Source organism: Homo sapiens, chromosome 10 (assembly GCF_000001405.40).
Source record: "Homo sapiens chromosome 10, GRCh38.p14 Primary Assembly".
Classification (NCBI taxonomy): Eukaryota; Metazoa; Chordata; class Mammalia; order Primates; family Hominidae; genus Homo; species Homo sapiens.
Genome location: NC_000010.11, coordinates 46,812,876 through 46,838,985, shown reverse-complemented (window position 1 = coordinate 46,838,985; position 26,110 = coordinate 46,812,876). Strand labels below are relative to the sequence as shown.

Below are 26,110 nucleotides of genomic sequence, written 5' to 3'. Positions count from 1 at the left end.
TGCCCGCCACCACACCTGGCTAATTTTTTTTTTTTTTTTTTTTTTTGTATTTTTAGCAGAGATGGGGTTTCACCATGTTAGCCAGGATGGTCTTGATCTCCTGACCTCGTGATCCGCCTGCCTCGGCCTCCCAAAGTGCTGGGATTACAGGTGTGAGCCACCACACCCGGCCATGCCCAGCTAATTTTTTGTATTTTTTAGTAGAGATGGGGTTTCATGATGTTAGCCAGGATGGTCTCGATCTCCTGACCTGGTGATCAGTCCGCCTAGGCCTCCCAAAGTGCTAGGATTACAGGTGTGAGCCACTGCGCCCAGCCGAACTGTAACTCTCTTATCTCAACTAGCTGACATTACTTCACATCCTGTTCAATTTATAAATTAAGAGAGGTGCCATGGGCTGGGCACGGTGGCTCACGCCTGTAATCCCAACACTTTGGGAGGCCGAGGCAGGTGGATCACGAGGTCAGGAGTTCGAGACCATCCTGGCTAACATGGTGAAACCACGTCTCTACTAAAAATACAAAAAATTAGCCAGGTGTGGTGGCAGGCACCTGTAGTCCCAGCTACCTGAGAGGCTGAGGCAGGAGAATGGTGTGAATCCAGGAGGCAGAGCTTGCAGTGAGCAGATATCACGCCACTGCACTCCAGCTGGGGCAACAGAGCAAAACATCGTCCAAAAAAAAAATAAAAATAAAAATGAAAAAGAGGTGCCATGTGTACAAAAATCAATGCATATTTATGAACTTTTTTTCAAATATATTTTCACACATTTTATCTAAATACATAATACAGAAGCCTGTGTGACTTGGGCAATGTGGCCAGGAGGGCCTGAGACTAACACATCCACCTCGGCAAAAGGACATAAAATATGTCTTATGGTCAGAAAAATCAACATTTTGTGTATTTACTTAGTTTACGAAAAGTACTGAAAATGCTATTACTAGCTGAATTTGTGATTTCCTTTTGAAATTCTGAGTTATCCTTATTTTTCCCATTTTGTTTTTGCACCAAGGAGACTGCAGTCAAATAAAACAGATACTACACGCACTCGTCGGGGCAGCCGTACTGCAGAAGCACGTTGATGCACTCCTGGCTGGAGGCCTGCCGGGCGTAGGTCAGCGCTGTGTTCCCGTGGGCATCTCGGGCCATGACGTCCACCCCGTACCAGATCAGGAGCTGCGCCAGGACCACATTCCCCTTGCGGCAGGCCAGATGGAGCGCCGTGCAGCCGTCTCCCTCCCCACAGGTCTCGTTCACCTCCTCACGGGAGCCATGTGCCAGCAGCAGGATGGCTGTCTGCAGGTCCTCATCAGCGGTGGCCCGCAGCAGCTGCTGGCCCAGGGACAGCTCAGTGCAGGGTAGTGGGGCCAGAAAGAGCTTCTCCTCATATTTGGAACGGATCCACCGTTCTTTCTCTTCCCTCGTGGACTTTTCTGAGGGTTTTGTCTGCCCCTGGCTGCTCCCTTCCCAGATGCTGTTGGCTAGGTCATTGCCAATAGATGACATAACCTTCCTGAGCTCAACTGGCCAGTCATCCAGCTCCAGAGATCGCACACGGGAAAGGCGGGTGCCAAGACTGCGGTGGATACCTGAGCATTCAATACACATGAGGACTCCCAAGTTCAAACTGGCCCACTTAGGATTCTGGGTCTCACAGTCCACACAGTGGGCGTTCCCACGCATGTTTTGGATCGACTGCAGGGCCATGGCCTCGCTCTGGCTGGTCAGCTGGGACTTGCTTTTACTGCTCTCGCATGACTGCAGGCTGGCCAGGATCTGGCTCTGGATGGCTTGGACCCATGCATCCCGCTCCTCATACGTCGTGGCTTCAAAGTGCCACGTTTGGCCAGTGGCAGACACAATCATAAAGTTGTTGGTGCTTTTCTTCTTTAGGTGTTTCTTTTTATTGGCATGAGGGGAGGGGGGTGGGTTGAGCTTGGGGCTGGTGGTGCTGGAGATACTGGGGCTGAAGCATATGGAGTCACCCAGCCCGATGTCCATGTCCTTGGATAGGCCATTGCTTTTAGAGCTGGAGATGGGTGCGCAGGCCGATGTGGCTAGGGATGGCCACTTTCCTGGGACTTTGATGGTAGATGTCTGAAGGTCAATCTCTTTTTTATGAATATTCTTCATATAATCACCTAAGCTTGAATAATAGGTGAGCACGCCATTGGAACACAGGGTGACGTATTTCTTTTTCCATGTCTTCAGCCATTTCCCACTTCGCTTTAAGAGCATGCCCTGTTTAATGGGGATGGCTCTGCCGCTCCCGATGGTGTCAGCATGATTCTCCGGGGCTTTCCTCTCTTTGTCTGGGTCACTCCCTTTCTCAGATGTAAACAGGTTGGACCAGCGCATGGACCGCTTGCAAACGGGCGTGGGTGTGTTGGCAGTGGGAGGAACACTGAACTGAGGGTCCTCCTGGCTGGTGCTGGGAGTCGGTGGAATGGAGGAGGAATAGTTATTTAAACTCCCACCTCCATTTCTTTTCTTCATAATGTGCACGGTGGAAACCTGTGTGGAACAGAAGGAGGAATGGCTTCAAAAATTGGGTAGTGGCTTGCAGGGTCCTATAGACAGCTCACAATTACCTTTTAAAAAGATACATTTTCTGGGCCAGGCATGGTGGCTCACACCTGTAATCACAGCACTTTGGGAGGCCAAGGTGGGTGGATCACGAGGTCAGGAGTTCAAGACCATCCTGGCCAACATGGTGAAACCCTGTCTTTACAAAAAAAAAAAAAGAAAAAAAAATTAGCTGGGCATGGTGGCACATGCCTGTAATTCCAGTTACTCGGGAGGCTGAGGCAGGAGAATTGCTTGAACAGGGACCTGGGAGGCAGAGCCTGCAGTGAGCCAAGATCGCGCGATTGCACTCCAGCCTGGGCTACAGAAAGAGAGTCCATAAAAAAAAAAAAAAAAAAAAAAAAAAAAAAAAAAGATACATTTTCTGTTGTTTGGATAGTATATTTACTCATACTAGCTCACTAACTAAACAGAGCTGCAGATCAGTTCTTACTCCAGCACATTCTTTTTACAACACTTAAGATGACTAAATGCAACATGAAATGGGGAAGATTTAAAAAAAGATGGCTTTGACTTCAGCATGAAACAGATACAAGTGTACGATGAAAATACAACCTCAATAAAAGTGCCACTTACCGCAAATGAGTGTAACTGTTCATCAGGTATGCTCAAAGATCTATCTGCATCTCTATAAAATAAGAAAGCGCATTACTTCAAAAACTGTTAATATCTTAGTATAATATTTGTTGAGTAAAATACTGCCTCCTGTGTGCTTTGGTGTTTACTTTACCAAAGCAGTTTTTACGAATTCTTCTCTTGGATCCTGACTTGCAGAGGGTTTCCTGACTTCTTCTTTCTCAGCACATCATGGCCTGTACCGTGAAGTCTTTTATATGATAACCAGTCAGAAATGCCCGTGAGTATTGACTCTCCCTAACAGGCCATGGCAATAAACCAAACATCTTTTCACTCTTCTAACCACACATTGAAACACAAGAATGTTCTACAAAGCAGTAGTAGTAAACTTTAATAAATGTAAATGTGATTCAGATTTCCTAGCTTCCTTTCTCTTTAGTTCTCTGTAGTATACTCTCATGATGTATTTATGTACTTTCTGTTGTTTGAATGACAAACTCATCTGCCTTTTTAAGAGGCCAGTCTTTGATGAACTTTAAACTTTGTAAAACTAATGCATTGTGCCTGTGTATAAACCAGTGGTTCTCCAAATGTGCTGTGTGGACCTCTCGGGATCCCGAAGACCCCTTCCAGAAGGCCTAAGAGGTCATAACTGTTCTTTTTTTTTTTTTTTTGAGACCAAGTTTTACTCTTATTGCCCAGGCTGGAGTGCAATGGTGTGATCTCGGCTCATGGCAACCTTCGCCTCCCAGGTTCAAGTGATTCTCCTACCCCAGCCTCCCAAGTAGCAGGGATTACAGGCACCTGCCACCACTCCTGGCTAAGTTTTGTATTTTTAGTAGAGATGTGGTTTCACCATGTTGGCCAGGCTGGTCTTGAACTCCTAACCTCAGGTGATCCGCTTGCCTCGGCCTCCCAAAGTGCTGGGATTACAGGCCTGAGCCACTGTGCCTGGCCAACACTGTTCTGAATCATACTAATTAAACCTGAGAAAGCTGATGAAAAATTTTAAAAATTTGTGAAAGTAATACAAAGTCATTGCCTGCTTTTTCATTGACACTTGCCATGATTATATAAAAGCAAAAGTGGGTACAATGGCTGGTTTCTCAGCATAAATCAAGGCAGTGGTACCAATTACATTAGTAGTCATTCTATTCTTCACTGTCCCCTACAGGTAAAAAACATAGCCTGAATTTCTTAAGAATGTCTTTGATGAAGCAGTAAAAATTAATGTTGTTAAATCTTGACATGTCTCTAATATTCTGAATAAGTGGAAAGTTAACCAGAAGCGCTTTTTTTGTTTGTTTTTAAAGAATCCGTGATTTAACTGTGAACTGAAAAATCACTTTTTTCACAGAACATCATTTTTATTTAAAAGTACAACTGGGCCAGCGCAGTGGCTCACGCCTGTAAAATCCCAGCACTTTGAGAGGCCAAAGCAGGCAGATGGCTTGAGCTCCTTCAGGAGTTCGAGACCAGCCTAGGCAACATAACGAAACCCTGTCACTGTCAAACATATAAGAAAATTAGCCTGGCGTGGTGCCACACATCTGTGGTCCCAGCTACAAAGGAACCTGAGGTGAGAGGATTGCTTGAGCTGAGATCATGCCAATGCACTCCAGCCAAGTGACAGAGTGAAACTCGGTCTAAAAAACCAGTTCAACTATCATTCTCAAAAATAAATGAAGTGAGAGGTTGTCACTTCAAGGGAAATACGTATTTGTTCCCAATGATAAAATTTAAGCTTTCCTGTGGACTTTGACAAACTTGTTCCTTCTACTGTAGGCTTGGCAGCTTTTCAATACTTAAAGGTGTGTTAAAGTAAGATTGGTGGTTAAACTGAAAGTGATTTTTGACACAATAAAACATAAACCAATATATTCCAAGTAACTAATGCATGATATTATAAATGCAAGTAGTGAGCAAAAGATCCATTTACTGTGCAAGAAAGATCAATGAGTACTGATGGAATAAATTTATTAATATGTAAAATGCCACCGTAACTAATTTAAGAAACCACCACTTGTGAAGTTTTGATTTAGTGTTAACAAATACCCACAACCGTCTGAAAACTTTTAAAATACACCTTCTACTAACTACATATTTGCATGAGGTTAGGTCATCTTATTGCTTCTTTTTTTCTTTTTTTGAGACAGAGTCTCTCTCTGTCACCCAGGCTGGGGTGCAAAGGCGAGATCTCGGCTCACTGCAACCTCCACCTCCCAGGCTCAAGCGATTCTCCTGCCTCAGCCTCCCAAGTAACTGGGACTACAGGCATGCACCACCACGCCCAGCCATTTTTTGTACTTTCAGTAGAGGCGGGTTTTACCATGTTGGTCGGGCTGGTCTCAAACTCCTGACCTCAAGTGATCCACCCACCTCGGCCTCCCAAAATGCTGGGATTACAGGTGTGAACCACTGCGCCCCACCAGCTTATTGCTTTTTTGTTTGTTTGTTTAGACAGAGTCTTGCTCTGTCACCCAGGCTGCAGTGCAATGGCACCATCTCAGCTCTCTGCAACCTCCGCCTCCCAAGTTCAAGCGGTTCTCCTGCCTCAGCCTCCAGAATAGGTGGGACTACAGGTGCGTGCCATCATGCCCAGCCAAGTTTTTGTAATTTTAGTAGAGACGGGGCTTCGCTGTGTTAGCCAGGATGGTCTCGATCTCCTGACCTTGCGATCTGCCCGCCTCAGCCTCCCAAAGTGCTGGGATTACAGGCGTGAGCCACCGTGCCCAACCTCTTATTGCTGCTTTAAAGCAAATTGCAAAGAAAGCTCTAGAGAATCCATTTGTCTCCTATTAAGCTCAACATGAGAGACTTTAAATAATATAAATACATGACGCACTTTTTACTCAACTTTTTGTTGTAGAAAAGTTATTTTTCAATGAAAAAATTCTGTTAACAATACTGTTCTCAAGGAATATTTTCTGTTGTTATAACCTGGGTCATGGGTTACTACTGATATCTAGTTGGTAGAGGCCATGAATACTGCTAAACTCTCTGCAATGCACAAGACAGTCCTCACAACAAAGCATTATCTAGCCCATAATATCAACAGTGGTAAGGCTGTGAAATCTAAACTAAAAATAGATTTTGAAAAAATTTCAATTGTATAATTCTACCACACTAAATATCAATATAATCAATATAAACACATACTCTTTGAGATTCTCAATCATTTAAGAATTATGAGAGTCTTAAGGAACAAAGAAAATACAAATAATTTGCTTCGATATTTTAGTAGGCACAATACAGCTTATGATGTCTAGAGCTGTGACCTAACACTGAGCTTGATATCTTGCAAAGTACTTAGCTAGAATAACAAGACAGGTTTCTAAAAAGCTCACCTTTGTGTGATATGATGAGGTATCTCCAAGGTCACACTGTGGAAGGAAAAAAAATTCATAACAATAGATGTTAACATTTGTTAGGCCTGAAGACATTTTTTAAAAGGGGGGCAGAGGAAACTCTCCTAGTGGCCCTGAAATTCAAATCTTCTAGTTCAGAACAGTACCATAAGGGCACTTTGTTTTCATTTCTTTGTTTTTTACAAAAATATGAGAACCAAAATGCAAGGAAATATGCCGTTAGAAGACGCGTTTCTGTTGGTGATTACAATATATAAATAATAACAGATTTCCTTGTTATATGCTTTTCTACCCACGAAACCTTTCGTCCCATGCGATTTATTTTATGTATTTATTTATTTTTTGACCCAGAGTCTGTCTCTCTTGCTCAGACTGGATTGCAGTGGTGCCATCTTGACTCCTCACAACCTCCACCACCCAGGTTCAAGCGATTCTCATGCCTCAGCCTCCCAAGAAGCTGGGACTACAAGTTTGTGCCACTATGCCCAGATAATTTTTTTTTGGAGGGGGGCGGTGGGTGGAGTTTCGCTCTTGTTGCCCAGGCTGGAGTGCAATGGTGTGATCTCGGCTCACCACAACCTCTGCCTCCCAGGTTCAAGAGATTCTCCTGCCTCAGCCTCCCAAGTGGCTGGGATTACAGGCATGTGCCACCACACCCAGCTAATTTTGTAGAGTGAGGCTCAAAACAACTGAGGGAAGGCAAATCTCAATTCTACTAATAGGTCTACACAATATTAGCACTTTTTAAAAAGCCTGTAACATCAGCAGGTAAGATGGATATGTCTATAGTGCTTCAAGTAGTTTTCATCTCTGAAATAATTTTAAAATCACAGAATTTAAAGTTACATGCTGGAAAGGACCAATGACCTTATGTGACATTTAATTCAACACTCATTTTACAGATCAGGGAAACAGACCTTAAAACTGACTTGCCCAAGGTCCCACCAAATAGGAGCAGTTTCTCATCCTAAACTCAAATTAAGCAGTGGCTCTCAAACTTTGCTGCACATTAAAATCACCTGAGAAGCTTTAATATCTGCCTCATCTTCCACGAGACATTTTAATTTAATTAGTATTGGGTATGGCTTTGGGCATCAAGGTTCTTAGTAAACGTTTCCCAGGTGATTTCAATCAGCAGCAAAGTTTGGAATGACTGAGCTGGGGTGAAAATCAGAATCTTCTGGGATGCTTTTCTTCACAGAAAGATGCCTCACATCCATCCCGATTTTCCTAAAAGGCTTCTCAGTGCCTAGAGATAGAGGGAAAGTGGAGATGGGAAGATACATGTGTTTGCAGACTTGCATTTTGAAAAAAACCTTGCATAAGTGATCTCAGCGAGTTCCACCTATCCCACTGACAACAGTGCACTACTGATTCATGATAAAACATTTTTCAAAATATCTTCTTGAAGCCAATTTGCCCTATTAATTTGTTCAATAACTTTATTTCACCAATAGTGAATACACCAAATGATCATTTCTCAAACTTGCTGGTGGCAAATTAAAACTTACTATACTCTCAAAAGTAGACTTCTAAAAAGTAGAATAATGAGGAAAAAAGCACGAAATTTGTTTCAGCAAAATTAATCTTCAAAGCTGCTTTTGAATTATATGCTAACATATGAAAATCTTTGGAACTCAGAAGAAGCCAGGGACTCTAGTCAAAGTAATTTTTGTGTATGTGTGCTCAGAGATTTAAGAGACTTAGCTGACTACAGACATTTAGTGATTACTCAATAGGTCCCAAAGCTCAGGACTTGAGACAGAGTTTGAGTCCAGTTTTTGTTCGAAACACAATTTCCTCTCAACTATTGTTAAAAGGGAGGGAGGAAAGTGACATTATTATGAGTGTAAACTTTCCACTTTTAATTGAAGTAAAAGTTATTGACAATTGAATTAGTTAAAAAGGCTAGTGCATTTGAAACAAAATTGTTTATAAGCTAGTTATGTGTACAGAATGAAAAGTTAAATTAAAGATAAAGACATTAATATTCTAAATTAGCACTTTCCAAACTGTGTTCTAAAAATCAAGACTAATAACCCAAGGAGATGAGAATAATGTACACTGGACAGCCCCTGTGGAGCTGGTGGTGGTGTTGGTTGTTGTTCCTTTTAAAATAAACTTCATCTCAGGGTGCTCTCAAAGCGCACCTTTGTGGCCCAAGAGGTGCTCATGCACAATGGGAGAAATTCAAATGCAGATACACTGTGGTGCCAGAAGAAGAAAAGCTGTTCCTTCCTCCAAGGATAATGTCCAAAGTAGTGCACACTGATTTAGGCCTATGATGCATTGAAAAACTAAGTTTCCACAAAAAACATTCAATAAAGGGAACCTATCCTTCTCACTGTGTTCAACATTGTCTAAAGGCATAAAGGCATCAAAAAGATACATTGTTTCTGGGATTGCTTCTTTGCTAACTGATTTTTCCTTCCACCACGACGTCTAAGATTAAAAGAGAAACTGATACTTAATATTCAGAATCTGGATATCAATATATGGTTGACTCCAATTTCTTAAACTGATTGCTGAAAAGGACAACCAAATGACTGAAATAATTTTAGAATAAAGGAATCTGTCCCTCGGCAGCATAGTTGTACTCATGATATTATTGTCATTGTAAGATAATGCTGGATGGCTGTGCTGTCATCAAGGAATATTGTCGAACACAAGCTGTATTGTTGACTGAAACGCACAGTAGATACCTGAAGGGGAAGGGAAGTGTAAGTCAAACTTATGAAAGTGTATTATTTTCTCAGTTAAAATGTCAAATGACAAAGCACTAAGATATGTCTTACACTCCATGAACTGCCTGAGTGTGGTATCATGTGCACTCTATAGAAAACCCATTGGAGGCTCTCAACTTCCAGAGATGATGTTTAAGATATGGGTTATAAAATGCTGCCCTTAATATGGTACCTGTCATCAAACCTAACAAGGATTTTATGAATTACCGTTAAAAATAATGGGAAAAGTCTGCTTCGCGGGGCGCGGTGGCTCACACCTGTAATCCTAGCACTTTGGGAGGTGGAGGCGGGCAGATCACGAGGTCAAGAGATCGAGACCATCCTGGCTAACATGGTGAAACCCCGTCTCTACTAAAAATACAAAAAATTAGCCGGGCGTGGTAGCAGGCCCCTGTAGTCCCAGCTACTTGAGAGGCTGAAACAGGAGAATGGGGTGAACCCAGGAGGCGGAGCTTGCAGTGAGCCGAGTTCGCGCCACTGCACTCCAGGCCGGCAGACAAAGTGAGACTCCGTCTCAAAAAAAAAAAAAAAAAAAAAAAAAAAAAGAAAAGTTTAAAATAAGATTTCATTTTTTTTTCTGCAGCAATAAAAAGCAGCTGAGAATTTCTATTAATTAATTAATTTATTTATTTATTTTTGAGACGGAGTCTCGCTCTGTCGCCCAGGCTGGAGTGCAGTGGCGCGATCTCGGCTCACTGCAAGCTCCGCCTCCCGGGTTCACGCCATTCTCCTGACTCAGCCTCCTGAGTAGCTGGGACTACAGGCGCCCACCACCATGCCCGGCTAACTTTTTGTATTTTTAGTAGAGACGGGGTTTCACCGTGTTAGCCAGGATGGTCTCGATCTCCTCACCTCGCGATCTGCCTGCCTCAGCCTCCCAAAGTACTGGGATTACAGGCGTGAGCCACGGCGCCCAGCCCTTCTATTATTTATTTACTACGATAAAATGTAATGTATTAAATAATCCTGCTACAAGAGCATTTTATTGCAGTGAATACAAGACTAATGCATTTACTAAATTACTAATCCTAAATGTATTATTTCAGGTGATATTGTTACAAAAGAAGTGTTTCAGATTCAGAGGCTCTGTGTGCCAGGGCTGCTAGGCCACCAACAAGTGAGGAAGCCATAGGTTTCTCTAGTCCTATTTTCTTATGTGGAGGATAAAAAGAGTATCACTTAAATATTCTCTCACACCCTGAAAACAAATGACAACTTAAAAAATCTAACTTTCACTTCATGTTTAAATAAGACTGCCAAGACATGACTCAAATGAGACTCTCGGAGAATACTTTGCATTCACTTCAAAACTTGATCAATTGCATTCTATAAATCATCTGACCTGCACCTAGCCATTTTCCTGCTCTACCCCTGCTCTCTGCCTAGAATACTGCTTTTCTCTTTCCTTGCTTCAGCAAGCTCGACTCCATCTACCCTCTTGGATCTCTTTGTCGGCAGCCACACCAAAAAATGTATTTTTATACACTAATTAGTTGAATTCACCACTGCTTACAAGATGCTAATTCCTGCAGAGTATTCCCCTTGTGAGAAAGTATGCCTCTCCATAAGAGTAAGGGAGGGCCCTTACTCTTCCTACCTCCAGCTGCTGAGCATAGAATTTTGAGTAAATCCAAAACTTCGACAAGTGTTTGACAATTCAGTTATCATTTGGAAGGTAAGTCTTACTACATTTAATTACAGCAAAAACACTACTAACAGTTTACTCTTTATAGGTATTATTTAAGGTAGTCACAAAATAGAAACAAATACTCTAACGTCAGGCAGCATAAATGAGAGTATGAAATTTTACAATATTTAACAAGAAATGGAAGGGGTTACTTAGTAGTTTTAAGGTTTAATGACAAAAACTAGAAAATAATCGTACCTAGTAATTTAGTAAGTCAAAACCAAAGCCTTACCATCAAAGGTGCAGTACCCATTGGATGCGGATGCCCACGCACTGACTTCTTCTGCTGTACCTGCTGCCTCTCATTTTAACCCATTAAAAATACTAAAGTTGTTTTCCTTGTAGACATGTTTCACCTCCTTGGTTAGGTCTATTCCCAAGTATTTTAGTTTAGTTTAGTTTAGTTTTGCAGCTGTCAGAAAAGGGGTTGAGTTCTTGGTTTGATTCTAAGCTTGGTCGCTTCTGGGGTATAACAGAGCTACTGATTTGTGTACATTAATTTTGTCTCCTGAAACTTTGTTGAATTCATTTATCAGTTCTAGGAGCTTTTTGGAGGAGTCTTTAGGGTTTCCTAGGTATATGATCATATCATCATCAAACAGCAACAGTTTGACTTCCTCTTTACTGATCTGCATGCCTTTTATTGTTTTCTCTTGTGTGATTGCTCTGGCTAGGCCTTCCAGTAGTATGTTGAATACAAGTGGTGAGAGTGGGCATCCTTGTCTTGTTCCAGTTCTCGGGGGGAATGCTTTCAACTTTTCCCCCTTTCAGTATCATGTTGGTTGTGGGTTTGTCATAGATGGCTTTTATTATATTGAGCTGTGACCCTTGTATGCTGATTTTGCTGAGGGTTTTAATCATAAAAGGATGCTGCATCTTGTCAAATGCTTTTTCTGCATCTGTTTAGATGATCATGTGATTTTTTGTTTTTAATTCTGTTTATGTGGTGTATCACATTTATTGACTTGTGTATGTTAATCCATCCCTGCATCCCTGGTATGAAACCCATTTGATCATGGTGGATTATCTTTTTTTTTTTTTTGAGATGGAGTCTCGCTCTGTTGCCCAGGCTGGAATATGCAGTGCGGTGATCTTGGCTCACTGCAACCTCTGCCTCCGAGGTTCAAGCGATTCTCCTGCCTCAGCCACCTGAGTAGATGGGATTACAGGTGAGTGCCACCACACCCGGCTAACTTTTGTATTTTTAGTAGAGATGGGACTTCACCATGTTGGCCAGGCTGGTCTCGAACTCCTGACCTCATGATCTGTCCGCCTCAGCCTCCCAAAGTGCTGGGATTACAGGTGTGAGCCACCGTGCCTGGCCGGATTATTTTTTGATATGCCGTTGGGAACTACAAAACGTTGCTGAATGAAGTCATGGACACAAACAAATGGAAAGACACCCCATGCTCATGAATGGGTAGAATGAATATTGTGAAAATGACCATACTGCCAAAAGCAATCTACAAATTCAATGCAACTCCCATCAAAATACCACCATCCTTCTTCACAGAACTAGAAAAAACAATCCTGAAATTTATATGGACCAAACAAGAACCGGTATAGCCAAAACAAAACTAAGCAAAAACAACAAATCTGGAGGCATGACATTACCTGATTTCAAACTATACTATAAGGCCATAGTCGCCAAAATAGCATGGTACTGATATAAAAATAGGCACATACACCAATGGAACAGAATAGAGAACCCAGAAATAAACTCAAATACCTATAGCCAACTGATTTTCAACAAAGCCACCTAAAACATAAAGTGAAGAAAGTAAACCCTATTCAACAAATGGTGCTGGGATAATTGGCAAGCCACATGCGGGAGAATGAAACTGGATCCTCAACTCTCAGCTTACACAAAAATCAACTCAAGATGGATCAAGGACATAAATCTATGACCTGAAATCATAAAAGTTCTAGAAGATAACATTGGAAAAACCCATCTAGACACTGGCTTAGGCAAAGACTTCATGACCAAGAACACAAAAGCAAATGCAACAGAAACAAATAGGTGAGACTTAACTAAAGAGCTTCTGCACAGGAAAAGGAACAATCAGCAGAGTATACAGACAACCACAGAGTGGGAGGAAATCTTCACAGTCTATACATCTGACAAAGGGCTATTATCCAGAATCTATGAGGAACTCAAACAAATTACAATTACAAAAATATGGAACCAGCCCAAATGCCCATCAATCAATGAGTGGATAAAGAAACCGTGATATACATACATATATATATATATGAGGAATACCACCTCAGCCATAATAAGGAATAAATTCATGGCATTCCCAGCAACCTGGATGGAAGTAAGACTATTATTCTAAGTGAAATAACTCAGCATGGAAAACCAAATATCATGTTCTCTTTCATACGTGGGAGCTGAGCTATGAGGATGCAAAGCCATAAGAATGATACAATGGACTTTGGGGACTTGGGGGAAAGGCTGGGAGGAGGGTGAGGGATAAAAGACTACAAATTGGGTTCAGCGGATACTGCTCAGGTGATGGGTGCACCTAAATCTCACAAATCATCACTAAAGAACTTAGTCATGTCACCAAATGCCACCTGTTCCCCCAGAAACCTAAGGAAATAATAAATAAATAAATAAAGTACAGCATTTTTCTCAGCAAACATAAAATAAAACAAAGACTAAAGTTCATATTTTTCACTCTCCTTTTGGGCAGGACAAATTTTAGATAGGTTTTTAAAGAATTAGTAACTTTTTTCCTTTTTCCGAGACAGGGTCTCCCTTTGTTGCCCAGGCTGGAGTGCAGTGGTGCAATTATAGTTAACTGCAGCCTCAAACTCCTGAGCTCAAGCGATCCTCTGCCTCAGCCTCCTGAGTAGGTAATACGAAAGGCGCATGCCACCAGGCCTGGCTAATTTTTTATTTAACCTTTTTGTAGACATGAGGTCTTGCTATGTTGACCAGGCTAAAAATGAACAAATCTTAATTAACTTAAATATTTCTAACACTTTGGGCATTCAGGAAAACAGCTCCATTTATGTTGTGAAGTAATGGGAAGTATATGGCAGTGGATAAACTTTGAATGAAAATATTAAACAAGGCCTTAGGAGAAAAGTGTAATATGCTTATTATAGATACATTAATTTAAAAAATTCTCTGGCTTAATATAATTAATTATACTCAAATTAGATTTTGATTTAAACACAGGTCCTAAATTTGGATTAAATATAATAGATTGACCACAAATTTATTTCGTCTCCCTCCGGAAGCCTCATCAGTCATAAAATAAAGGTTACACCCATGACCAGCACAGAAGGTTGACAGAGATAATTTTTAATAAATGCTGAGACATAAAAAGTAGATAAAGGAGTGGTAAATAACACAGAAACACAACTTTGGTGCCTACAGAAAGTGACTGGAACAGAAGCGAGCCAGTTTGTCTTGCAGAACTAAAGGCAGGTTGTGAACTTACAGGCAAATGGAACTTTGGAAAGTAGGGTAAAATGTGAAAAAAAAAAAAAAGCCAGCAAGGTCAGTTGCAAATCTCTAACTAGAGCCCCAAGTCCACCTGTCCTTCCATCTGACAAGAAACTTAGATGTGTGTTCTCTGGATATATCAAACCTGAGAATTTCTGGCTCAGAGATACCATGGCTTAAACCTGAGATATAAAGAAAACTGTACACCAAAAATGGAACTCCAACTTTCTTCACTAACTCTGTTTTTCCTTTCCAGGCCTGCTTTTACTTTCCAGGCAGAAAATTGGGAGATCCTTCTCAGAAGAAACTGAAATGTCTTCAATAAAGATCCCCAGATAATACACTGAGGTCTCCCAAATGAAAAGCTAGTCAGGCTTCTAAGGCCTCACACTGAGTGCTATCAGTTAACAGAAATCCTGCTTCCAAATAAAGCAGGCCAGGGACCACCACACATTGGAGGGAAGCCTCCAAGAAAAGAGATCAAAACAATAGAAAAAAGGAATTGATAGGACCAGTCAAAATCAGGAGCAAAACTTTAAAAAAAAATCTTAAAACACTCTCAAAAAATATAAAATTCAATAGAAATAGTAGAGGATAAAGTCACAGAATATCCCAGAACTAGAATAAAAAGACAAACTGAAAAAAATACAAGGGGAAAAATTAAAAATCAATGCAGGCATATTGGTCTAAGCAGCCTAGCATCTGAATAACAAGACTATCAGTAAAAAAGTAACAGAGAAAATAAAAAAAAATTCTCAAGAAGAGATAGTCTGCAGGTTTAGTAGCCTCAATAAAATGAAAAGATCCCCAACAAGCTGTTATAAAATTTCAGAACCTTAGAGAGAGAGATTCTAAAAAGCTTCCACAGATAACTAAAACCTGGTTGTAAATAACGTATCACACACTGGCAATAGATTCAAGAACAACACTGTAATAAGAGCACAACTGCAAAATGTCTTCAGAACCACAACATTTAGATTCAACCTAGAGGTGTACTCTCTATCAAAGAGGAGGGATTTTAACATCTCCACACAGGAAAATGTGTTCAAGTACAACTAGAGACGATAACAGGACAGAAGGAAACACAGAATCTAGGACTCAGGTGATCCCACACAAGACAGCAGTTACGTGAGATACCAAAAGACTTTAAAGAGTTAGCCCAGAAAAGCAGACATTGAGCATATCTAGGGAAACCCACGCTATATTGAACTAGGATGACAAAAGGCCAAAGAAAGTTGCCCCCCACACAAACATAAAAAGGAACAGATGTGTTTTCGCAGATGGAAAATATCTTTGAAAGGCATGTGATAAATGCTACAATACTTGGGGGAAAACAGCTGTTAGAAAACAGGCAAATGAATATAGTCAGAAAATTAGCTTCATGCTAAAAAATAATGGATGTGAAAGCAAACAGAGCACCCAGAGGCTACTTAACGATATTTGGATAGATAAACTAATGTAGGCTAGGAAAAAAGAAGATCCAGGAGAATTGCAGAAGTGCTCAGATTTCAGAACTGTTTCAGAGACAGGATGAAGGACATGGAATGCAGAGGCACAGTGAAAACACCATATGACTTAGCAGTGAATAATATTTGCAGAGTCATAATCATGTAAATATTACTGATTTAATTAAAAAGTGTGCTACAATTGGAAGAAACACAGGGAGAAACATAAGATCATGGTGTAGCGGGGAAGGTATGCTTTTACCTGCTGTGACAGAAAGTCAATAGACAGTGCTGGCAATTAACTTAGCTATTCTATTTTTGTTCTTTCATTAAAAATAAGATTAAATATTTAAGGCAATTTTTTTTTTTTTTTTTTTTGAGACAGAGTTTCGCTCTGTCGCCCAGGCTGGAGTGCAATGGTGCGATCTTGGCTCACTGCAACCTCCGCCTCCTGGGTTCAAGTGATTCTCCTGCCTCAGCCTCCTGAGTAGCTGAGATTACAGGCATGCACCACCACGCCCAGCTACTTTTGTATTTTTAGTAGATACAGAATTTCACCATGTTGGTCAGGGTTGTCTCAAACTCCTGACCTCAGATGATCAGCCTGCCTCGGCCTCCTAAAGTGTTGTGATTACAGACGTTAACCACCATGCCCAGCCTTAAGGCAGGTCTTTTGAACCGGACTATTGAAATTTAACTTAAATGTCAGAAATCTTTAAAAGGTGGACACGCTAAACTAAGCACTTTTCTGGATAAATTTAATACTCAGGAAAATAGAAGAGATTTAGAAAATCCACAAAAAGAGGTCCATGCTACCACCACCAGGTCCACATTGTAATTTAAAGAAATCAAGAGAGACATCCTTTTATGTCAAACTATCAATTTCTTAACTATTTGAGTGTTTACTTACATGGTTTGTACAGTTGCTTCTTCTTATTTCTACAACTAAGAATAAAAAAAAAAAAAAACTGGTCACTTCTGATACAAATACCATAAAATAAAAGTAGTTGTTAACATCTTACTGATTACTCCTATGAAAAATGAGACAAAATTCCATTAAAAAAAAATTTTCAATAACATATAATTTAAATTATCTGGCATGATTAATTTCATAAGTCAAATCTAAAAACTTAGATTTTCATTTAGTTTACTTTTTGTTTCTATTACATACAAATGAAAGAATCCTCATGTACAAAAGAAAAGGGCAAAAAAATTAGGCCAGATGAAAAATTTAGCTAATAAAAAGTTTAACTGTTGCATATATGAGCCATGATCCATTAGTATTCTCTCATTCTGCATTTACACATAGCTTACTTTAATTATCAGACTCTAAGAGCTAACAGTTCTAAAAACTACTTCCTGACCAGACACCTATCTCTAGATGCAACAGAATCCCTGTAAGCATCTTGAACCACACTTAGTGGTTATCTACTAATATGTCACTAAAAACAAAACAAAATTAAAAAATGGTCTTTACACAACTGGAAAGTAACCTATCTTAAATTTGTTTTCTTTTTTGAGATGGAGTCTCACTCTGTCACCTAGGCTCGAGTGCAGTGGCGGGATCTCAGCGCACTGCAACCTCTGCCTCCCAGGTTCAAGAAATTCTTCAGCCTTAGCCTCTGGACTAGCTGGGACCACAGGCACGTGCCACCATGCCTAGCTAATTGTTTTTTGTATTTTTAGTAGAGACAGAGTTACACTGTGTTAGCCAGGATGGTCTTGATCTCCTAACCTCGTGATCCACCCACCTCAACCTCCCAAAGAGTTGGGATTACAGGTGTAAGCCACAGAGCCTGGCCTAAATTTTGATGTTAAAATAAGTATACAAACCTAATTGGACATGGTGTCTGCAGCACAAAAAAATCATTTTTTTTTCCCTAAAAAGAGGCCAGAATAATAAAAGCCCCAAGAGGGACTTGGGCCATGCTTTGTTTCCTACACTGCCTCTGCCTTTGATGCTGGGAGGGCCTTGTAGGCAAAAGTTACTACCACTGAAGAGTGAGGGACATGGAATAGCTTTTCTTTTACTGCTTCCATGCTCTCTAGGTGTGAGAAGCCCATGGCTCTGGAAGGAACTGGGAAATACAATTCTGATATGTTTTGGATATGTTGCCCCTCCAAGTCTCATGTTAACATGTGACCCTTAATGTTGGAGATAGGGCCTAGTGGGAGGCGTTTGGGTAATGGCAGTGATTCCTTATGAATGGCTTGGTCCCATCCCCATGGTAATAAGCACATTCTCATTACGGTAATTTAAAAGACTGTGGTACTGGCCAGGTGCGGTGGCTGAAGCCTGTAATCCCAGCACTTTGGGAGGCTGAAGCGGGTAGATCACTTGAGGTCAGGAGTTTCAGACCAGCCTGGCCAACATGGTGAAACCCTGTCTCTGCCAAAAATACAGAAATTAGCCAGGTGTTATGGTGCCCACCTATAGTCCCAACTACTCGGGAGGCTGAGGCAGGAGAATTGCTTGAACCTGGGAGATGGAGGTTGTAGTGAGCCAAGATCGTGCCATTGCACTCCAGCCTGGGCAACAGAGTGAGACTCCATTTCAAAAAAAAAAAAAAAAAGAGTGTGGTACCTTCCCCCTTCCCCTCTCTCTTTCACCGTGTGGAACCACCTGCTTCCCCTTTGCCTTTTATCATGATTGTAAGTTTGCTGAGGCCCTCACCAGAAGCAGATGTTAAAGCCATGTTGGTACAGCCTGAAAATCTTTGAGCCAATTAAACCTCTTTTTGTTATAAATCACCCAGCCTTAGGTATCTCTTTATAGTAATGTAAAAAATGAAGACAAATTCTAACCAGAAATAACTGACTCAAGATGGGCAAAGTCTACTCAAACTATAAAAACAAAGGTTACAAACTCCCGTGTTTTACTGTGCTGCATTACTTCGCACACTATTATAGAACCCTCACTTGTATTCTTGCTGTTTAAGTCAACTGGAAAACTTGGCTGTGTATGGCTTGTTGGCAAATAAATAAGGATTTAACATAACATTAAGGGAAATAAGCAGGAGTAGGGCACGTTTAAATTTACATTACATCGAATGAAAAAGTTAATAACCTAAAACTTTTGAGTAGCATGAACTTGGATGTGGTAAATGAATGTGGTCAGAGGACTGTGTAAGAGGAGGCCCAAATCACAGATTCAATCCCTGATGATAAACAACTATGTTTTTTAAGTTGTTTAAATGAAAACCAAGCTGAAGCCTAAGTTCTATCATTCATCTTTAAAGTGTACTTTTTGGAGCAAGGGAAAAGGGATTATAAATAAAGATAAATCCATTAATTATAAATAAAGATAAATCCAAGAATTATAAAGAGAAATCCATGACTCCTCCATCACATCACAAATTAATTGTGTTGATAAAAAGATGGCAAAATGTATAAACAAAAAGGTTACACATTTTCACTAACATCATAACAACTAAAGGAAAGTATATCACATATTCAAATGAGACAAGTGAACATGTGAAAAGGTGAAAAATTTAAACCAATATGAGTTTTTCTAAATACTTTCTATAACCTGATCAAACAAGAGATTTTATTCTTTCTCTTGGCGGAAAAAACAATGTCGTCTCACCATCTGTTTGAGAGTTCCTCTGGAATATTGTGCTTGCCTCTGGATTGGCAGAAGGGTTAAACTCCAAAGCTATATGCATAGAGGAAGAAAAGAAAAAAAGATGTAATCATTGATAAAAATTTATCAACTCATTTATTCGACTGCTGCATTTAGGCTATTTCACTATCTCTACTTTGATTCTTATCCATTGAAATGAATGTATAGACATAAGATAGAGCCAGGCAAGATGGCACATGCTTGTAGTCCCAGCTACTCAGGAGGCTGAGATGGGAAAATCACTTGAACCCAGGTCAGGAAGTTGAGGCCAGCATGAGTAACACAATGACACCCTCCTTTATTTAAAAAAAAAAAAAAAAAAAGAGGTAAATTTTGGCTTTGAGTTGTGTAAAATCAACTTTGCATAAAATAAATCAAGATAGCAGTAAGTTTTAAAAGACAGTCTATTTTATAGGCAAAATATAAGATGTATTCTAGAGTTTTTAAAATTTTTAAAAAGTAAATTCATCATATCTGTCACTTCCATTTCATTCTGAGGACACAGAACCTTAGTTCTCTTGAGTAGCTGTCTTCCATAGTCATGTGATATCTCTAAGTTTTCATTTCTTCATTAGCAATACATAGGGAGAACATACACAGGCCTTATTTGTATTGGAAAGGGCCAAGTGAGACATACATAAACTGTGTTGTAATCCTAAAGAATGACAATAAAGAGCCATTTTTGGGCTCTCATCCAACACTACCCATCTACTAACTGGTGTGTAACATCCATCAGGCTTTCCGAACATCACCAAGCAGAGTATAAGTTTACACAAGTACTTACATGCTTTGTGTATAAAGGTACAATCAATTAATTCACATAATGCATTTGTTTATTCTAAAGCAATCCTTAAATATCTTGAAATGTGAAGATAGTACTTCCAAGTTACAAAGTCACACTCATAATGAGTCTTAATTATCCTACCTCTTTAAAAATTAAGAGCCCGACCAAAGTTTAAATAGAAGAGCTATAAGACATTTCCTCTACAGTGATGAAATCTCTGGCATTTAAATGAAACCAATAAGCCAACTGGATTTAATATGTTTATGATGCAATGTTTTCTATTTTGAAAATTTCAGTTTTTATTCAAGAACCATATTATTACCCAGAATTACTTTTACTTAGATTCATCTCTTTGCAAAATTTTAGAGGCAAACCAACTAATTGTTTTCTCTTTTCTACCGGCTCCCATCCCCTGCCTCTGCCAGCAGTGTAGAGACTAAAAAACTCCAACTTTCTTTCCTTTTTTTTTTTGTGAGACGGAGTCTCGCTCTGTCACCCAGGCTGGAGTGCATTGGCGTGATCTCTGCTCACTGCAACCTCCACCTCCTAGGTCCAAGCAATTCTCCTGCCTCGGCCTTGTGAGTAGCTGGAACTACAGTCATGCGCCACTACGCCCAGCTAATTTTTGTATTTTCTTTTTTAGTAGAGACAGTGTTTCACTATGTTGGCCAGGCTGGTCTCGAACTCCTGACCTCAGGTGATCCGCCTGCCACGGCCTCCCAAAGTGCTGGGATTACAGGCGTGAGCCACCAAGCCCAGCCAAAACTGTAACTTTCTTATCTTTGAACAAGATGCTATTGTCAGGAGGGGAAGGGACAAAGGGGGAGCCATGGCAACAAACACTCTAACAGGGAAGGTCTGACATTTTAACCTGCAATCTTTATATTACACATTAAAAGTCTACGTTGACGTTTCATGTCTTTTGAAAGTTTTGACCATGAACCAATCCCCACCTCTCTTTTAGAACAAGGAGGTAAATAAAGTCTGTTAAGTCACCAGAATAAATCTGGAGACACATTTTCTGTTAAAGTAAGAATTTTAAAGTAATCAGAGCCTCATAGGTAAACTCCTTTGAGAAACCCCAAACACACACACACAACCATTTTTCTGCAGCCCCGGCTGTGACATTTCACACCTTTCACAATTATTTTAAGCATTCTCCTTTTTTCTTTTTCCTTCTGTGTTCAAATTACAGTTAGAAGAAACTAAGCAGCTTCTATCAAGGTGACTTAAAGCAGCCCATTAAGAATACCATATAGCCTCTCCCGTGGCAACCTCCATTCTGATTTTAAATAAGAAATCCCCAAATATTTGAATAGGAACTGTCCTGAGATTTGGCTACTTTAACAAAGGAAACAATTAGGCACTTACCTGGTTCCTTCACTTAGGTACCATCTGGATAGGTACAAAGAAAAAATAAGATGGGTACTGAAAAGTTGGGATATTTGAGTTTTTATTGAGAAAAGGAAGAGAATAGCTCAAAGAAGCCTAAACAAAGTCCCACAGGATAATAAACAGAGCTACAGACACTGTTGTCTCACCATCTGTTTGAGAGTTCCTCTGGAATATTGTGCTTGCCTCTGGATTGGCAGAAAGGTTAAACTCCAAAGCTATATGTATAGAGGGAGAAAAGAAAAAAGATGTAATCATTTATAAAAATGTATCAACTCATTTATTCAACTGCTGCTTATTCGACAAGAGCCATAAATAAATGGCCCCATGCCAGCCTGGGAGAATGAGATGAGAGAGCAAGAACTGGGCGATTGGGAGGGGAGGCGAAAAGAAACTGACTGGACTCGGTGGGGAAAGACTAAGGGGTGGGAATTCAAGGCAGAGCCAGTTTTGTTCCTGGCCAGCCCCCGGGAAAGCTGGCTACAAGCAGAAAGGAGCTCGAAGTGGGGGATGCCTCAAAGGGAACCTTGGGGACAGCAGCAGCCAAAGGCAAACCGAGGGTAGATGGCACCTATCACCTCCTCACCTTCAGGCATCTCCCGGTCACGAACCTGGTGCATGTGGAGGTCCTCACCAACTTCAACAGTCACCTCAGCAGGCTGTACAGCAGCAGCCATGGGCGCTCCTGCCATCCTGTCCTCAGCTCCTGCCTCATAGATCTCAGATTCAGAGGGACACACCGACCCCTGCTGCTGGTCAAACTCGAGGCTGACGCTAGGGTGCACACGACAGGTCAGTATGTTCCCCATGGGGCGCCTCTACTGTCTGCCACCACCTGTGCCTCTGCTCACAGCTTTGGCCACGCACTCCCGCTGTCCTAGGCCGAGGCTATGCTGCACTTGCAGAGATGGTCTTCCCGCTCCTCGCCTGCCCACCTCACAGCGCGGCCCCGGGCACCAGCCCTGGCCCCGGCCCCGGCCCCGGCCCCGGCTAGGGTTGCGGGCCAAGGCCCGCACCCTGCTGCCTCCCCTGAGTTGACTTGTCTGGGAGGGTGAAGACCAGCCGGCTTATTTAATAGGTTGTGAACCCAACAAGCGCTGAGAGACACAACAACTGCCTGAAGAGAGAACAGACGGAGCTCCTTCTCCTTCTGTAGTCACCTACAGACTGAAGCCCACTGGCCCCAGGTGGGAGCCCAGGCATGTGGCACACAATGCCCCACCCCCCACTTCACAATGCCCTCCCCGACACCTCACAGTGCCCCACCCTGCCTGCCACCCCTCCCCAACAGCTCAGAATGCCCCTGCCTTGGCTGCCCCACCCTGTGGCTTATGATGCTGCTGCTCTCCTGGCCCCTCGTGCAGTGCCAGTGGGACTAAGGTTTTCATTCATCACCAGCTTCCTGAGATTTTAGTCCTAAGAAAAGCACAGGGTAGTTCATTCCTTGAAGCCAGCTTCCTCTATGAGTTCTATACAAAGCCTCAGTAGAGTGGGTCCCATTAGCAACCAAGTTGAACAACTTTTATTTGCTGTCTGAATATAGATACACCTGAATTGTTGACTGCTTTTGTAACTAAACACTCCTCTCCTGTCTTCCAACGAGTGGTCATTTTTGTCCGCAACTTGACCACAGCAATCCCTGGGGCCCTAGCTCTACTCTCAATAAAGAGTTATGGCTGTGTGTTTTGAATGACACCTTAGGACCCATCCTGCCTCCACCTCCTTCTCCATAAAATAGAAACCTAACTGGCACCTCCAAGCTCTGAAATGCTGAAACTTACCAACTCCCTTTTCTCCCCGCTATTTCTTCCTTCCATGGCAGGGACTTTCAGGTTTTCTTTCTTTTACTAACAAGGCACTAAGCATGATTTTCTCATACAAAATCGAGAGCCATAAAGTGGCTTACCACAGTCCTATTTCAATAAAGATGAATACTCGACATCTGGCAAGTAGTGTGTGCCTGACAGTGTCCCCACTGTGCTATGCTCATTTAACCCTCAGAAACAATCTCATGTTACAGATTTTACAGAAGTTGTTGAGATGGAGAAGGTAAGTAACCTCCCCAAGGTCACATGACTGCTAAGGGTGGGGCCATAGTTTGATCCCAGGTAGTCTGAATTCCCCAATTGCTTAAGCATGAGTATCAGAAAGTATAGCAGTCTGTTTTCACACTGATATAAAGAAACACCTGAGGTTGGGTAATTTTTAAAGGAAAGAGGTTTAATTGACTCAGTTTCACATGGCTGGGGAGGCCTCAGGAAACTTAACAATCATGGCAGAGGGGGAAGTCCTTCAGGAAACTTACAATCATGGCAGAAGGGCAGGTCCGACTTACATGGTGGCCGCACAGAGAGTGGGAACATGTGAAGGAGCAACTGTCAAACATGTATAAAACCATCAGATCTCAGCTGGGCACGGTGGCTCACACTTGTAACCCTAGTACTTTGGGAGGCCAAGGCAGGTGGATCAACTGAGGTCAGGAGTTTGAGACCAGCCTAGCTAATGTAGTGAAATCCTGTCTCTACTAAAAATACAAAAATTAGCTGGGTGTGGTGGTGCATGCCTGTAATCCCAGCTACTCAGGAGGCTGAGGCAGGAGAATCAATGGAACTCAAGAGGCAGAGACTGCAGTGAGCCAAGATCATGCCATGGCACTCCTGCCTGGACAACAGAGCAAGACTCCATCCCAAAAAACAAAACAAAACCCTATAAGATCTCATGAGGACTTACTGAATATCACAAGAACAGCATGAGGATAACTGCCCCCATGATCCAATCACCTCCCCCTAGGCCCCTCCCTCGACACATCAGGATTATGGGGATTATAATTCATGATGAGATTTGGGTGGGGACATGGCAAAACCATATCAGAAAGTAAAGGTAGAAGTCAAGCTTGGATGGGAAATGACATTGTAGATTATTATTATTATTATTATTATTATTATTTTGAGACGAAGTTTTGCTCTTGTTGCCCAGTGAAATTGTTTCTCTAATTTCATTTTCAGATTGTGTCTTGTAGATGTATAGAAATACAATTGATAAATGATTCTGGCTATTAACCTTTTATGCTTCAACCTTGCTGAACACTATTTTTTTTTTTTTTTTTTTTTTTTTTTGAGACGGAGTTTCGTTCTTGTTGCCCAGGCTGGAGTGCAATGGCGTGATCTTGGCTCACTGCAACCTCCGCCTCCCGGGCTCAAGCGGTTCTCCTGCCTCAGCCTCCCAAGTAGCTGGGATTGCAGGCATGCGTCACCATGCCCGGCTAATTTTGTATTTTTAGTAGAGACGGGGTTTCTCCATGTTGGTCAGGCCCACCTCAGCCTCCCAAAGTGCTAGGACTACAGGCATGAGCCATCGTGCCCAGCCAGATTCGTATATTTTTAAAAGAATTTTTTTTACTTTTTATTTTTTTTTTAAGACAGAGTCTCACTCTGTGGCCCAGGCAGTGGCACAATCATTGCTCACTGCAACCTCCACCTCCTGGGTCCAAGTGATTCTCATTCAAGTGCCTAAGCCTCCCAAGTAGCTGGGATTACAGGATCCCGCCCCCATGCTCAGCTAATGTTTGTATTTTTAGTAGAGATGGGGTTTCACCATGTTGCTCAGGTTGATCTCGAACTCCTGACCTCAGGTGATCCACCTGCCTTGGCCTCCCAAAGTGCTGGGATTGCAGGCGTGAGCCACCACTCCCGAACAGAACAACATTTTTTTGATGTGGATTTTAAAATGCCTCCCCTTCTTTCAACATTGATTAAGTCCCTTCTACATGCCAGGCACTGTATGTGTGAAATAGTCCCAACTCTCAATGAGTGTAGGCAGATACACAAACAAAGGCTTAAGGAGGTCAGTTTTCTGAGACCATACTGCTGGACAGTATATGAACCTGGGATACAAACCCACCTCTATTTGACCTCAAATTTGATGCTGGGGTGGTTTTAATTTTATTCTGGGAATTTCAGTCATTCAACCATAAAAAGGTGAAAAGTCTCTGTCAGATGTGCGTGTAGTGGTCTGTATAATAAAGACTGAAGGAAGCAACCCAACCAATTAAGAGACTTTCTCTAAAGGCAGAGTAATGCTAAGGGCAGTGGCAGTGACAAAAGTGGAGGAAAAAGTCTGTGATCATTTGGGAGACAGAATAGGAAGTGCTTGGTCATGAGATGTGAAAGAAGAGGGGAAGTAGAAGGAAAACAGAGCTGCTCAGGCTCTGCTGGGGAAGACTGGGTGTGTAGCAGTGCCTTCCTCCTGGCCGAGAATGTAGGAAGAGAAATAGGTAAGGAGGAAAAGATAGTTTTTTACTCTCAGTGTCACATTAAAATGGAACTCTCTGGTCAAAAGTTGAATATAAATCTCTGTAGGCTAAGTCCATTTGTGACATCCCAACATATGTTTTCAAAAATAACATACACACTAAATCAAGCCATTAAGCGTAACTGGGGAAATTTCCTA

At 41.5% G+C, this 26,110-nt stretch overlaps 1 pseudogene across 1 annotated transcript; it reads right to left on the bottom strand.

Moving 5' to 3' along the window:
- Positions 1 to 1,888: 1,888 nt before the first annotated feature.
- Positions 1,889 to 22,446, bottom strand: AGAP13P (ArfGAP with GTPase domain, ankyrin repeat and PH domain 13, pseudogene; annotated as a pseudogene). Its single transcript, NR_165819.1, has 7 exons — positions 22,248 to 22,446; positions 21,811 to 21,879; positions 19,450 to 19,518; positions 16,774 to 16,808; positions 6,510 to 6,545; positions 3,163 to 3,214; positions 1,889 to 2,514 (listed from the first exon to the last, which is right to left on the bottom strand). The product of NR_165819.1 is annotated as an ArfGAP with GTPase domain, ankyrin repeat and PH domain 13, pseudogene (transcript).
- Between the last annotated feature and the right edge of the window lie 3,664 nt (positions 22,447 to 26,110).